Below are 16,361 nucleotides of genomic sequence, written 5' to 3' on the forward strand. Positions count from 1 at the left end.
TGGGAAATAGTTTTTCCATACAGGATAGAAAGCAAGTTTATTTAGAAGATCATTACATTGTCCATATTATTCTTTTTGTTTTTGATTTCGTTTAAAATAAAACAGAACTCGAGCTAGTCAAAAAAAGAGGTTGAGCAAAAGATTGCTGATATGATCTGCGCAATAAAATTCACAACTGTTTTGACGCTTCAAGTGGCAACCTGGGGCATGGGGTGGGTGGAGCGGTGTGGGGGTTAGACCAGGGCAAAGGCAGTTAAGGGAAAGCTTCAGACTTGGGAGGGTGAGAGTGGAATTTAGGAAATTGTAGCAAACTATATTCATAGAAGAAAGTGGATCAATGAGAAATATCCTTTTATGACAAAGATAGACAAGGAAAATAGAGATCCCAAATACTCAATTTTAAATAGTTTCTTGTTCTATACTGTGGTGTCAAACTTCTCATTTGGCCCAAGTAATCTGGAACAGACTTGCACTCACAGCTTTGGTGAATGGAGTAAGAGGCAGTGACCACAGGTACAAAAGCAAGTCCAGGAAGGGTACTGGGGAGGAAGGTGGAGCATCCAGGAAAGCCAGGGTTCAGGGCGGCAGTGGCCACAAGAATGGGAATTCTCCAAAAACCCTTAGAAAGTTTGTAATGTGTTGGATTTCCCACAGGATGTGGGGTGGGAGATTAGTGCTGTCTTATTAAATACCCAAAGAAAGATGATGCCCCAAAGCTGGAGAAATTAAGACTGGAATTTATAAGAACATAAATCTTATTGGAAAATAATTTTCTAAAGAGTTCGTTGAAACTTAATGTAATATTGTAATGGCAAAACCAAAATGTTTATTTAGTTTCTTGGCTTTAAAAATATAAATACCATTTTTAAGCATAGACTCCTCCCAATTTTCCATTTCAAGTAACCTGTGTGAAAAGATACTGTGAAAGCAAAAGTTTACTTCTACTGAATTTTTATAATCAAAGTAACACTTACTTTCTCAACCCTGACCGCTAGAATCTGAACGGCTATTGCTCAGAATTTCCCAGTGGTTCTCAAACCAGTCACCAATCCCAACTTCTAACCTAGCCATATCCCTACTGATCATATTTACATCTTAGCAAGACTTAGGAAAGAATTAAATCTCTTGGAAACATTTAACCATAGTTGCTAACTTTTTAAAAAGGCTAAATTCCTCATGGTAAAATAAAAGTAAGAATATATAAGGAAAGCATTCTCACTTAAGAATTTTCTGAAGAAATGTTCATGCTGTATGGTTTGAATGATGCATCTGAGATCAAGCTGGGAACACAGTCACCTATTTCCTAGGGAGGTCAACACTTCTAAGAGGGCCTGGGACTCTTATGTAGATTTGCCAACTTTATACAAATACAGCATTTTTTTCCCAAGATCTCTCATGAGAATGATGGTGCTCATCTGCAAAAACACACTGAAGATTTTACTGTGTGGGCACTGGGTGCCAAGAACACACACTTTCTCTACAGATGGCACAGTTGTTCCTAAATGCAGGCAACCTCATCGTGCCTGACCTTCTGCTTCTTGGCGTTACCACTAAAGCCTTGTCAGTCTATGTGCCCTCTTTTCTGCCTTTCCATTCTTCTTTCTGACTTCAAGCTTTCATGCTGTTCACACGCCTGCCTCCAGGCTACTGAGCCCCGCGGAGATGATCAAGTATGGAGGGCCATCAGGATGAATCTCCATCCCAGCACTTTTGGCAGTCATGGCAGTATTTGGTTCTTGGAGAAGGCTGGGGACTTGCTCTTGCTCAACTTTGGTATACATTTTATTTATTTTCATCACCAGAGTCACTTTCAACCAGCAAAGAAACAGGACTTAAAGGCTCAGAGATTTGGTAATTTCCCTTAAGTGGAGCTCCAGCCACTCATCATCAACAAATCTGAATAATTTCTTTTTTTTTTTTTTTTTTTTGAGATGGAGTCTCGCTCTGTCGCCCAGGCTGGAGTGCAGAGGCACTATCTCGGCTCACTACAAGCTCCGCCCCCCGGGTCACGCCATTCTCCTGCTTCAGCCTCCCGCGTAGCTGGGACTACAGGCGCCCGCCACCTCGCCTGGCTAATTTTTTGTATTTTTAGTAGAGACGGGGTTTCACCGTGTCAGCCAGGATGGTCTCGATCTCCTGACCGCGTGATCCGCCCGCCTCGGCCTCCCAAAGTGCTGGGATTACAGGCGTGAGCCACCGTGCCTGGCCAACAAATCTGAATAATTTTAAAAAATGCCTTTTGATTGGGAGGCCAAGGAGGGTGGATCACGAGGTCAGGAGATCAGGACCATCCTGGCTGACAAGGTGAAACTCCGTCTCTACTAAAAATACCAAAAAAAAATTAGATAGGTGTGGTGGTGGGCGCCTGTAGTCCCAGCTACTCAGGAGGCTGAGGCAGGAGAAAGGCGTGAACCCGGGAGGTGGAGCTTGCAGTGAGCTGAGATCGTGCCACTGCACTCCAGCCTGGGCGACAGAGCGAGACTCCGTCTCAAAAAAGAAAAAAAAATGCCTTTTGAGAACTCATTTCCTGTGGGGGAGTGGTAAAAGGAAAATCAATTTTCTAACAAGTATCTAGTGACTCAAGAGCAGAAATAAACTAATCTTGAAAATTGACCATAAATATAGGAATATTTTCTGAAGTTGCCTTATAGAAAAGTTGTAAGTTGCAGAATTTATAATCATAACTGTGTTCAACTTAGACATGTTTGTGTACATATTCAGGGAAACACTAGCTGACTGGTGGATTCATATTTTATATTTTTAAGGGTACTCAAAATCATATACCATTAAATAATTGTGCATAGAGAAATTAGCAAAATTCTCTTTAATTTGGAGAAAGAAATTAAAACTTTGCACCTAATGTTTTTACTGAAGAATGGTTCCTCCCTTTGCATCTTGGCTTGTATCTATTCCAACCTGTAGAATATGGCAGAAGCAATGCTGTGTCCCTTCTGAGGCTAAGTTCTCAGACTGTCTTTTCACTCTATATAGTCCCCTTGCATGATCTCATCAAGTCTTTGATTTAATTTCTACCTATATCTGAAGACATCAAACTACTTATCTCCAACCCAAGCTTTTCCACTGGATTCATTCTTGAATATACGGGTGTGGAATGGGCATTCTCCCTGAAGTCCCACAAATATAGTCGGCTTCAATGAATCCATAGACTTCCCAGGCTTGCTCTTCCTCCTCTGTTCCTCTGTCTGTGAAACAATCCCTGCCCCACCATCTTTCTAATTATCCAGGACTCTTCTCTCTTCCTCACCACTCCCCCCCACCCCCACATAACCCACCAGGCACCAATTGCTACTGACTCTGCCCTTTCTTTTGAATATGTCCACTTCTCTGTGCGCCACCACCACCATCTGGTCCAAGACATCACTAACTCTCAACCAGAACACACCAAGAGCCCTCTACTTGGCATCCCCTGCTTCACTTGAGTTTCTTCCTCCCTGAATTAGCGAGAGACATCCTCAGGAAAAGCCAGGCCTCAGGATAGAGGCAAGGAAGTTATCTGCCTTTAAGTTACACATTATGGAATCTTTGGTGGTTTACGTAACAGACTTGCTTATTTAGAAATTAAGAATTTTTCGTTAATAATCTCTAAGGTCCCTAATATCCCTGTGATTCTATAAACCTAAGTGTTTTAGTTGAAAACCTAGAGTGTCATGGTCACTGAAGGTCAAAAGGACCAAATTTAAGCTGGGCACAGTGGCTCAAGCCTGTAATACCAGAGCTTTGGGAGGCCGATGTGGGAGGATTGATTGAGCCCTGGAGTCTGAGGCTGCAGGGAACTATGATTGCACCACTGTACTCCAGCCTGGGTGACAGAGTGAGACTCTGTCTTTAAAAAAAAAAAAAAAATAAAAAAATAAAAAAAAGGAGAGACAGAGACCAATTTTGAGCAGATATTTGGTAAAGAAAACCAGAATTTTCAGTCATGAAAAACTGAGGACATTGTCTCACTTTCGTATGTTAAGTCTGATAGTTCCTCATGCATGTTTTAAGAAACATTCAGAAATAGGCTGAAGAATCAGACATCCAATGAGAGTGAGGAGGGGGCCAATGAAGAGCCCTTCAAACTTCGTATTCAGAGATCCCATGACTATGATTCATTTCAGCTTAATTTAGAAAATGCGTTCTTCTTACAAAGAGAAGCAATTATATCTTCTATATTGTATTCTGGCATTTCCACCTTCTCCACTACCTGTTTTTTTGTTTACTTTTTGCTGCAACAGATGGACCAGAAATAACATGACTGTTTAGGTAAGAGAGGAAGGAGCAGTCCTTTGAGATTATGTTAACAGTGGGATTTAATTACTGAATGTCAAGCAGCATGATCAGTAGAGACAGAAATTAATTTCCTGTCAGTTTATTTTCACTACCAGTCTTAAGTGTGGCTGTGAACTAAATCAATTTTATGCACCCAGCAAAAAACTTCATTTTAAAAATGTACTTTCAAGTAAGTTTGTGCTGGATTACCTCTTGTAGCAGCGAAATAGTAAATTATAATTTTCGAAGCTATGAGAATCTTGGTAGAGCAAATAGATTATTGGTTCATGTAAATAATGGGGTGTTTAGGTCAAAATGCAAAGGTGATTGTAAACCAAGACCGTAAGTACAAAGCAATGCAATATTTTCTCGGGCAACATTTTTATTCTATTTGATAATTACTACCTCCCGCTGGGGAGTGACAGGTGCCATAGCAGAGACGCAGACAGCGATGAAGGACTGAGCTGGCCACGTTCCTCCTGCCTGCCTTCCTAACAGGAAAGGAGACTCTTCATTTCCATCAAACCACAGTGAATCAATGGGCCCTCTCAGAGGCCCGGGCAACCGCACAAGCAAGAATGCAGCACGGAGCGGAGTCCAGGATGCTCAGCGTGGGCCTCGGAGTCTGTGTGCGATCAGCTGGAGTCCAGGATGCTCAGCGTGGACCTCGGAGACCGTGTGGGCTCTGCGCTCTGCAGCTGAGACACAGTCACCCGCCCGATGGGCGGAGAAAGGGGCAGCTTTGAAAACAAGCGCAAGGAGATGCATCCAAAAGACAACCGAACCCATCAGGGTAAGGAGCGCAGCGGTGGAGTGTGAGGGGGAACCAGAAGGGCGGCCAGGGCCGGCGGCATGCCATGCCAGGCAGCCCCGCGCCACCCCGGAACACTGGGACACTCTCATATTCCCAAAGGGACTTCTCCATGCGGCGCTCTGACCAGGCATCGCCGCAGGACGCATAACAGAGAGAGCGAGCGCAGGGCACCCGGCCCATCAGCTCTTCCTTCACCTGAACTGCCCCGGCCTCGCTGAGACGCGGATTTTAAAACCGCCCTGCACCTATGTGCTGGCAGCCAGGCCCTGGGAACTTCCTCCAAACACTCCCATGAGTTCGGGATGACTAGCATCAGTTTTCAGCTGGAGAGCAGACGGCAACTGAACGCTGCGAAGTCCCACGATGGGGATGAGAGGACCAGAGCCCCGAGGCCAGTCGCCCCCCTCCCGCCCATCCGCCCGCCCGCCCGCCACGCAGGGCTGCTCTAGCGCCTGCCTCTTCCTCTTCCATAGAAACAGGGTTGGGGAGAGAAATGTTATGTTGCTGGCCCAGGATTGGCATTGAGCGTTGTTCAATTAAGAAGCCAAAACCTGTAAGACCATGGAGCTCCACACAGGACTGAGGCGGCGGCGATTTTGTTCAATGACACGGAGCTCGCTGGAATCCACGCCCCTGAGTTTGATCGTGGTCACTGCTCAACCAAGCACCCCTGTCACCCGCCGCCTTTTTCTTCTTTGCGGTGCAGTCTCCCGAGGGCGGAGAGTTAATGTAGAAATCCTCTTCCAAGTTATCTCACCCGATTACTCTGTTTTGGACTTTTCTAGGCAGTTCACTGTGTTGAGCCCAATAATTTGCAGGCTGCTACACGGATCTAATATTTCAGTTACAGGCTTTCATGCTACTCAGATGTATAGAATTGTAATTTTTTGAAAACTACAACTTAATTTCGGATTGCATGCTTGTTATGTCCGAGGTAAAATTTTAATCTGGTTCTTTGCAGAAAGATTTTGTCAATTTGTCGATGTCTCTGTCATGTCAGCTATAAACTTGGTCCAGTGGCTGAGCCCTGCCCCTCACCACCACTTCTTCCCAGGTGGCACCTAGATGCCAGGGGATATCAAGGGATCAGGGAAGAGGAGTGTCTGCCTACACCTGTCAATTGGCACCAACGGGTGTCCTGGTCATGGTCGTAGTCGCTGCCTCTGTCTCTGCCACTCCTTGTCCCTGTGACTTTGATGGTCAGGGCCACAGAGGAGGCTGGTGTCTGAGTCTGTCCCCTACTCAGTTACTGGCAGTGCTCATTCTCCTGTCACTGGGAATCAGCTGTGGTCTCCTGGCATGGCCCTACAGAGTGACTGCAGAGGGACATGTGCTTCCCTTGAGGTTTCCCTGCACTCAGTGGGCACAAGGCTGCTGGACATGCAGGCTAAGCCTCCCCTCGCCTGCTGGAAAGTGGCAGCCCCCTTCCTGTCAGCCTCTGTCTGGGTCTCAAGGCCTCCCTTTCAAACCTATAAGTGTTGCTACCAGACAAGGGCAAGCCACATCTGGTGATGCAATCTCTTGGCATTCCTTCCAAAAGTTGTTATTACCACCATCGCTGATTTGAAACAAGTTTCTGGTTGACATTTTCAGCAGAGGTTATCAGGGAGGCATGCTGTTTTCAGTACTTTTTTGTTTAGAAGGCTTTGCCACTCCGGTGACTCTCCTGGACAGATGTTGCATTTATGCCTAGACTCTGTGTGAGGCCCACAGCAGATGTCTCCAGAACATGCCCCTCCATTCCCTGCCCTGGGCTGCTCTGCTTCCCAAGGGAGATGGCTCATCCCACCTACTCCGCACACCAGATTGATGGGGACACATATCCTCGAGATGGAATCCCAGGGGTTTACCTACAGCCTTTCACTGGAACACAGGCTTTTTATCTGTTAATGCCAGCAGCATCCTAAATACAAAGGCTGAAATGACTGGATTTGAACAAATGGTTTGCTGATGAATAGTTGTATCTGAAATCCTTGTCAAAATTTCTATTAGTTGAGAATTTTCTATGTGTTGGGTTCTTTCATATTTTATTTTATTTTATTTAACCCCTACAATCATAGATGAGCAACTGTTTTACAGCATAAGAAAACGGCATTTATTTTACAGGTGACAAACTGAAGCTCGAGGTGTTTTGCTGCAAGTGTGAGGTCTCTGGCCCAGCAGGCAGTGAATGGGGTTTTGAACTCAGGACTTTCCTTCTAGCCATGCTCTCTTCATTGCAGCCTTTGGGCCCCAAGGAGACCAGGTTTCCCCTGATCACGTTTTTGTTATTGTTTTATTTTTCCTCCTGTATACTCAAGGGAGCATGTTCAATCGCCAACCTTCTATGTTATGTTTTAAAACTGTGTCCAGTCAGCCCTGGGAATGTGAGGGAAGGGGGCTCCCAGAGCCAGGGCAGCCCCGGGAGCCAGGACCTGTGCCATTTCAGCCAGAAGTCTCCTCCTTTATCTGACTTATTTATTGAATTTCCACATATAAGAAACATTTCTACCACTTAAAAAATGTCAGGGATAGTATGAATGAAAGAAAGGCACAGGTGATTTGAAACCTTCATTTTAATCAGTGTTTTCTATTTCTTTTATTTTCAAAGCCTAGGATTGAGCCAGTAACAAATTGCCTAACATAAATCAGCATTATGGAACTTCTGTCTCTCTATTCTCAACTCTTTTTGCCTTATATTATAAGAAAACGTAAAAGGAGTCAGAAGAAAAGCAGAGAGCTTGCAGAAATAGCTTGCCACTAGCAACTTAATTCAGCCCCCAAAATAGGAAATTCACAGCTGGTTAAACATCTGTGGGCCACTGGCGGCTGAGAATGTTCAAACACTTAAACTGTGTTTTCCAGATCAAGCCAATCCAGAAGTCTTTAAATCACCATAATAACCAGAGAATAGAACTTCCCTGGCTGGCTGTGGGCTCTTTGGGTACAGTTAGCTCGTACCCTCAGCTGCTCAGAGTGGCCCCAGGGCCTGCTGGACTCTCAGGGCCTGGTGCTGGCATCTGTGTTTCCCTCAGGCTCCTCTGCAGGACATGCCCGCGCTGCTGGGAGTGGTTCTGCTGCCGGTCCCCACCGAAGTCTGGGCACCACGCCGGCTGATGACCATCTGGGCACAGCCTGCAGTCACCTCCTCTCCCCAGAGCGGAATCCTGAGGGAGGCGCCACCTGGGTCCCGCTGCTTTCCTCTAAAGGAATCGGTCGGTGTTCCATGGAGAGGAAAAGGGAGAGGAAAAGGAAGAGGAGGGAGTGAGAGGGAAGAAAGGTTTTTGTTTGCCCTTTTGTTTCACTCCTCGCCTTGTGGCCAGGGCACAGCTATGGAGAGGGTGTGTCAGGGACTACCTAAGCGACAGACACCTGTCTATAGTCACAGCATCTTCACTTCTCCCTTCTCCTTCCTTCCACTATCCTTCAAGCCCAAGGAGCATCTTGGGGTGACTTTTCTTTCCAGGAGAATCCTCAGGACTTCGTCTCAGAGCTCCATGGAGCACTCTCCTCCAGACAGCGAGAGGTGTGGGTGTGCCGGATCCTCAGGGAACACGGGACGGGAACCTACCTCCCGTGGGGAGTCACAACCGAAAGAATATCTGCCAATTTGCAAAACTCATCTTTCACTAAGGAAGCAAGCTGTGTACTTTAGAACCCATGTGCAATCCAACCAAGAAAAAAGGGCCACGGTGACAGAGGGAAGGCGCGCAGCACGGATCTGCACCCCGGATGCATCTGGTGCAGCTTGTGCCGGGCCTGCTGCATGTGGGCTCGGTGATGCCCAGACCGAAGCTGCCCCCCTGCACCGCCACTGCACAGCGCAGCATGGCCTGTGGAGCGGGGATTTCCTGCTCAGCCCGCCTCAGGTCCCATTCCCTCCCCGCTCATCATTTCAGTAAAGGGTTAGTCTCTGGCAGACAACTGGGGAGAACACAGATGTAAGAATGAGACACTGAGTTTCCTCTGAATTTTAAGACGAAATTTTAAGAACAAACACAATCAAATGAAGAAAGTAAGTTTTGATTAGAAAGTAAAACCGTTTTAATAACATTAACAGGTGCTTTTATTACAAAAATGAACACTAATTTATTGTGGTAAATTTAGAAAGAAACATTAAAATACAAAATAAAATAAAAGCTTTCATAATCCCACAATGCAGATATATGCTACTAGCATTTTGTTGTGTTCCTATTCTAGGCCTATTAGTTAAGACAGCCCAATTAATTAACAAACAGCCCCTAGGTCCTGGGGACGTCACATAACAAAGCGTGATTTCTGTCCCCTGCTGCAGTCCAGTGTGGAGGGCTGGAAAGGGGAGGAGGGGCCTCTCCTCCATGCAGCCATTCAGGACCCAGCCTCCTGCCTTCGGGTGGCTCCATCGCACCCCGGGTGTGGAATTTCACTCTGGTTCCTCAGCATTGGCAGCTGAGAAGGGAATAGAGGTTTAGAGAGCTAAGTATATAGGTATTCTGACCACCTTTTCCTGGCCATACTGGACACATGGCTGCATCCAACCACAAGGGAGCCTGGAAAATACAGTGTGCCCAGGAAGGAAAGGGAGCTGGTTAGGCAAGCACCTAGCTGGTTTCTGTGATATAAACAGATATAGACATAGGTCTGGAGATGAGCAAGGGGAGAGGCATGGGAATGAAAGTGGGTGCCAGTGTGGGCATGGATGCTTACAGGTTTGAGTACAGGAAGATATTTTTCATACAAATGTATTTATATTATTGATTCTTTTGTCACTTAAGATATTATGAATATTTTTCTGTCATTAAACGTTTAAGAAAGCAGACATTGTAATAAGTGACTGTGTGCAGAGCATCTCTCTTATGTAGGAAAGACCTTGCTCATGCTGCCTTCCAGGCTTGCACTTGCCTTGTCTGCCAATCTAGATATCGTGATGGTGTTAAAAGATACACTTAGGCATATTGGATTTTATAGTTTATCTGAGCAGACATCGATTCACGAATCACACAGTACTGGGTGGTAAGTGGGTATCACTCCACTGCAGGGTGGAGAGAGAGACGGTGAGAGGTGTTTGTGGAAGAAATACAAGGAACACAGCTTTGACTAGGTAGTGACAGCCCCTAGTTAGAGGTCAGTTGGTGGTTTCCAGTTGCCAAAGTCTCTAGTTTCATTTTACTCCTTATGTTGGGCTTCGGTTTGCTTACAGAGGAACCTAAAACCCTGGGTCTGCCTCAGTCTAATGGTCTTCCAATTAATTTTTTTTTGCAAGTGTGACTGCAAATGTTTTTTGGGTCCACCTGGACCGGAGAATTAATGGATTTTCTGATTCAGGATTATGTAAAATCAAGAAGATTAGGTTAAAAGAAAACAATCCATCAAAATAAGATGGACTCTATTGAGTCTGTTAATAGTTTTGACATATAGAGGTGAGATATATACATAGTAATTAAGAACATGGACTCTGGTCTGGCACAGTAGCTTCCACCCATAATCCCAGCACTTTGGGAGACCAAAGTGGGAGGATCCCTTGAGGCCAGGAATTCAAGACCAGCCTTGGCAACATAGTGAGACCCTGTCTCTACAAAAAATTTTTAAAATACAAATTAAAAAAAGAACATAGACTTGCAGCTAGACTGCCTAGCTCCAAATCCTAGGTCTGCCACTTGGCAGTTAAATGACTTAGACAAGTTACTTAACTTCTCTCTGCCTTCATATCCTCATCTCTAAATGGAGACAGTACCATGTCTAGGGTTGTTAGAATGATCAAATGAATTTCTATATGACAGGGCTTAGACTAGTGCCAGCCATGTAGGAAGTACCCTATTAGGTCTGGCAGTCTTCCTTTACAGAATACGGCAAGAGGCAGGAGTAATTAATTATAAATGCAGAATAAATATTTGCACATATATAGATTAGAAATAATGTATAGATATAACTATGGTGGAATTCTGGTGTTACCGACCCAGTTCACCTCTCTGAGGTTAAATAACTTATGGCACATCTCCACGAGAGGGTAGTATGCTGCTGTACAAAAGAATGAGAAAGTTCTCTATATACTAATGCAGAAAGGTCTCCAAGATATGTTGAGAAGTGAAAAAAACAAGGTGAAAAAATGTTATTTGTGTAAAAAAGGGTACGACAAGAATATATATATATAATCTACATTTTCTTATATATGCATACAGAATCTGGAAGGACACACAAGCAACAAATAAATATCATTACCCGTGGGAGGTGGGAAGGTTGGCAAGTTGGTGATGGGAACAGCAGTGAGAAAGACTCCACAGTGCTTTTTAAAATATCATGTGATATGTTACTATTAAAAAATAAAATTAAAACAAACAAACTGCACATGACATTTGTCTTGAAAGTAGTCTGAATGCTGAGAGTCACACTCTTAAACTCGACGGCAAAAGCAAGATAGCCAGGACCCCTGGCTGTATTCCTCCTTGTGGAGGAGGTTCTGCAGATGGTGAGTGGGTAGTGACACTTGGGTCTCGGAGATGGAGGTGAAGCTTTGAGATTGTTTGCCAACAGGATGAAAAATGTTTTCACCCATACAGTGTGTTCAATTTGGGCCCTTATTTGAGGATGTCAACACTTACTGAGTGTGCGATGTTTGCCAAGGGCTCTAAAAGGATTAATCCTCAAAGTAAACAAAAGAGGAAGGTTCTATGGTTATCTCCATTTCATGTGTGAGGAAACCGAGGTGCTGAGCCTTCGCCCAAGGGTCTCAGGCGGCTGGCAGCCAAACCCTGACAGCCTACTCTGTACTTCTTTCTTCTCCTAAGAAGCAGTGCAGTACAAGACGTGCTGGGCCTGTCTCCAAACAAGAGGAGCTGCATTTCTCATGCCCAACTCCCTCTCCCCTTCTTAGAAGGTCAGGTGGCCACCAGGACGGAGTCCAGGAGGAAAGAGACTCCATGCTGACTGGCCAGGGGGCCCACAGCCCCAACGGGAGAGACCTTCTCAGCCCACACGTGGTCCAGCAAGACCCCAGGGGTGGGGCTGCGGAAGCTGATGCCAGGGCCCTGCACTAATCAACTGTCAACACTTGGACACTTGTCCACACTGTGCTCTTGAGCTGCCTTTTTAACCTGCACTGAGAGAGTAACTGTTCAACAATTTGAAAAGAAAGGCCCAGGCAACATCCATGTCTTCTCCTAAGAGAGATGGTTAACTTGAACCTTGAAGAAAGAATATTTGTTCCCAGAGTTTCCTCTGTGATGGGAGACAGATCTAGCCATTTCTTCCCTGCTCGTGGTAACCCTGTGGGGAACCTTGTTGCTTTAGCCCAGGAGCCGACAGACAACAGCGCTGAGCTCAGAATACGCCCCCGATCACAAGGATGCCTCTGTGCAAGGGAACTTCCGTTGCTACAGAGATTTTTCTGCCTGCAATCCTGTAACTATGTAGAGCATGGTGAGGACCAGCCCTTCTCCCAGCAGAATGCTGGCCACGTGTGGGCAGACCATCTTTGTCAGGCCTGAGCTGTTGGGCAATGAGGGTTTGAGAGCTGTTGCAGGTTCTGCCACTTCTCTACTTGGAAGATCCCCCCAGCAACCCCCATATTGCATCTTCATCCTGTGACCCTAATGGAACTTGCTCAGGACTCTTCCATGATAATTGTAAAAAGTGCACTTCATTTATTAAAGTTTTCTTGCTACTTCTGTATCCCAGAGACAGAATGATTCAGTGGCATTTTTCCATGTTTTAGTATTTGGAAGGCAAGATGCTCTGCAGAGAACTCATGCTTAGTGGAGCCGATACCATTGGAAATTGGGCCTCACAGAAAAACCTATGCGAGCTTTGTTTGGGAGAAGAGTCTTAACATAGGAGCAAATTAACTTTCTTCCACCACTAGGGATCACACACACATACTGTATGCTGGCCTGTTTAAAGAAAAGAATCACAAACTGAACATAAGTAGTCTCTTTGTAAGGTCTTTAAAAAACAGCTTTATTTTTTCACACACCATACAATTCACCCATTTAAGGTGTACATTCAATGGTTTTTAGTATATTTACAGATATGTGCATCCATTACCACAGTGAATTTTAGAACATTTTTACCCCCTGAAAAAGATATCCTCTGTCCTTTAGCTATCATTGCCTATTTCTCCATTCCCCAAACCCTACCCCTATGCAACTACTAATCTACTTTCTGTCTCTATAGATTTGCCGATTCTGGATATTTCAAGTAAATGGAATTGCATAATACACGGTCTTTTGTGCCTGGATTCTTTGACTTAGCAAAATGTTTTCAAAAGTTCACCCACGTTGCAGAGTGTGTCAGCACTTCTTTCCACAGCCGAATATTATTTCATTGTATGGATATACTACATTGTGCTTTTCCATTTGTGAGGTGATGGGCATTTGTGAGGCAGGAGAACAGGGTCTGGAGATAGGGAACCTAAGGCCAATTCACGCTGACTTCCTGGAACTGGCTCAAAAGGAAATCCCACCTCTTCATACCCAAGAGACAAGGGACCATAGGCCATTCCTCCTACAGACCCTTCCCCTCCACTGCCACAATTGGGAAGTACCTCTGATTGGCTGTGGGCTAATCCTTCATTTGCATAAGATGCCAACTCACTTCAGCCTCTTTGCTTCAGCTTCTAACTGGCCTCGGGCAAATCCTTCATTTACATAGGGTGTAACCAACTGGAGACCTCTGTTACCAAACTCTTTTAGCTTAATAAAAACCCTAAAGAGCATCGCAATTGGGGCTCTTGTGCCACTTGCTCCAGCCGCTCCCACCCTGTGGAGAACACTTTCACTTCAATAGTCTGGGCTTTTGTTGTTTCATTCTTTCATTGCTTTGTGCATTTTGTTCAATTCTTTGTTCAACACGACAAGAACCTGGACAACTCACCCTCAAGACTATCTATCTGGTAACATTTGGATTGTTTCCACCTTTTGGCCATTATAAATAATGTTGCTGTAAACATTTATGTACACATTTTTATGTAGACGTATGTTTCAATTCTGGAGAGGCATTGTTGGGTCACACAGTGGCTCTGTAACCATCTCAGGAACCACCAGTCAGTTTTCCAAAGAGACTTCAACATTTTCCATTTCCACCAGCCGTGTATGAGGGTTCTGATTTTCCCACCTTCTCCCCAGCATTTGCTATTGTCTGATGTTCTGGTTCTGGCCAACCTCGTCAGGGCAAAGTGGACTCTCATTGTGGTTTTGGTTCCATTTCCCTGAGTCTGATGATGCTGAGCATCTTTTCAAGTGCTCATTTGTGTATCTTTTTTGGAGCATGACATTTCAGATGCTCGGTCCATTTTTTAATGTGGTTATTTGTCTTTTTCATGCCACCGTTTCTGTGGTACTGCTCCTGCATTCTCTTTTAATTGTCCAGTGACTGTACTTTAATTTCTGGAAATTACACTTGGTACTTTTCTATGATTTCTATCTCTTTATTGATACTCTCTATTTGATGGGATATTGTTTTTATACTTGACTTCTTTACATTACAATAGCTGTTTTAACATCTTTGTCTGTTAAATCTGACATCTGGTTGCTCTCACAGGCAGTCTGTGTTGCAGCTCCCTGACCCCCATGCTGTGGGTCATTCCTGTTTTTTTAGCATGTCTTATAATGTTTTGCTGGGAACTAGGTGCTTTAGATAATACATGCTTTTGAACTAGATATTTTAGATAATAAATTGTAGCAACTCTGAGTACTGGCCCTATGCCTCTCCCTTTCGGGAGCTTGTTATTGCTATTTGTTTATTTGTTTAGTGTCTGTCTGAAATTTTTTTTTTTTTTTTTTGAGACAGGGTCTTACTCTGTCACCCAGGCTGGAGTGTAGTGGCTTGACCACAGTTCATCGTAGCCTTAAATTCATAGGCCCAAGTGATCCTCCTGCCTCAGCCTCCTGAGTAGCTAGGACTACAGGCACGTGCCACCACACCCAGCTAATTTAGTTTTTTTGTAAAGATGGGGGGCGGGTCTCACTATGCTGCCTATATTGGTCTCGAACTGCTGGCCTCAAGGGATTCTCCCATCTCTGCCTCCTAAAGTGCTGGGATTACAGATGTAAACCACTGCACTGTGTCTGGATTATTTTAGAGCAGTCTCTTCCTCCATCCCACCCAGGAGTGTTCTGTCTCTAATGTTCTCAGGGGGTACAGACTTGGGTTTGCCCACTGTCACTCTGGGATGACAGTGGTTTTGACAGGGCTGTCTGAATGTCTCGGTCCCTGAGTACACTCAGCTCTTAAGCACCAGTAATTGCTGACTGATTTCTCTATTGTTCTCAACAATGCCCTGGGGCATAAATTGCTCCAGAGGGGAATCTACTCACATTCTCCTCCTTTGAAGGATTTTTCCCAAGGTCAATGACTGAGAGTAATTCCAAACTTCAGGAAGGCTGGCCCTGCCTCTACCCTGGGCTCTCTCAGCCTACAGGGCTGCGGGAAGTTGTCATTCTCCCAGTTACCTTTTGCTACAACTTCCATTGTTCTTCTTCTTAATATATTTATTATTTTAAAACATTTTTCAGTGACTTCGAAACTTCGCTGTTCTTGAGAGTACTTGGATTTCTCTGCACTCTGTTGAAGATGCAATCAGTTTCTTTGGGACAAAAATTAGGAGATATTTGTTTAATGGGTTTCTTCTCCCTCCAGGCAAAATCTCCCAGCCAGGGCTCTGGTTGTTGAGTAGGGACAATGGTGAATTATCTCTAGATTACCATCCAATCTTAGAGCTGAGTGTGCAGGGAGGGAGAAGCAGTGACGGAGAAGGGACAATGGCTTCAGGTGTTCTTGGGCTGCCTGCCCAGGCCTGGAACAAAGCTGAGCAAATGGGCGCTACCCCAGACATGGCCCTTTGTTTGCATGTGGAGCTTCCCAGCATCCCAGGGCATCAGCATCCCAGGGCATGAGCTCTGGGCCAGACAGTGACTTGGAGCGGACTACGGACTCGGGCGCTCACTAACCTGAGTTGGGTAAGTTTATTAGTCTCCTTGTTGCATAACACAGTTCCAAAGCTTAGCTGCTTAAAACAACACACATTTATTATCTCAGTTTAGTGGGTCATAAAACTGGACATGGCTTCGCTGGATCCTCTGCTGGATCTCAGGATTAAAATCGAGGTGTGGACTGGACTCCATTCTCATTTGAGGCCCAGGATCTGCAGGATTGAGAACTTCGCATTCTTGCACAGGAAATAGAGATCCCCTTGCAGCTCCCAGAGGTCCCCCTCAGCTTTTAGGGGCCCTGCACATGTCCTAGAGGCCCCTGCAGTTCATAGAGACCCCTACAGTCCCTAGAGGCCCCTCTGCAATTCCTAGAACCCCTCTGCAGTCCCCAG

General features: G+C 45.1%; 3 annotated features.

Moving 5' to 3' along the window:
- Nucleotides 8,465–9,303: an enhancer, noted in NCBI's record as "H3K4me1 hESC enhancer chr18:13872168-13873006 (GRCh37/hg19 assembly coordinates)". NCBI's record gives its function as "activates a minimal SCP1, AML or CMV promoter by ChIP-STARR-seq in naive and primed H9 embryonic stem cells {active_cell/tissue: H9 hESC(naive and primed)}" and the evidence as "EXISTENCE:reporter gene assay evidence [ECO:0000049][PMID:30033119]".
- Nucleotides 12,731–13,701: an enhancer, noted in NCBI's record as "NANOG-H3K27ac hESC enhancer chr18:13876434-13877404 (GRCh37/hg19 assembly coordinates)". NCBI's record gives its function as "activates a minimal SCP1, AML or CMV promoter by ChIP-STARR-seq in primed H9 embryonic stem cells {active_cell/tissue: H9 hESC(primed)}" and the evidence as "EXISTENCE:reporter gene assay evidence [ECO:0000049][PMID:30033119]".
- Nucleotides 14,902–15,634: an enhancer, noted in NCBI's record as "OCT4-NANOG-H3K4me1 hESC enhancer chr18:13878605-13879337 (GRCh37/hg19 assembly coordinates)". NCBI's record gives its function as "activates a minimal SCP1, AML or CMV promoter by ChIP-STARR-seq in naive and primed H9 embryonic stem cells {active_cell/tissue: H9 hESC(naive and primed)}" and the evidence as "EXISTENCE:reporter gene assay evidence [ECO:0000049][PMID:30033119]".

This window comes from Homo sapiens, chromosome 18, assembly GCF_000001405.40.
Source record: "Homo sapiens chromosome 18, GRCh38.p14 Primary Assembly".
Taxonomy (NCBI): Eukaryota; Metazoa; Chordata; class Mammalia; order Primates; family Hominidae; genus Homo; species Homo sapiens.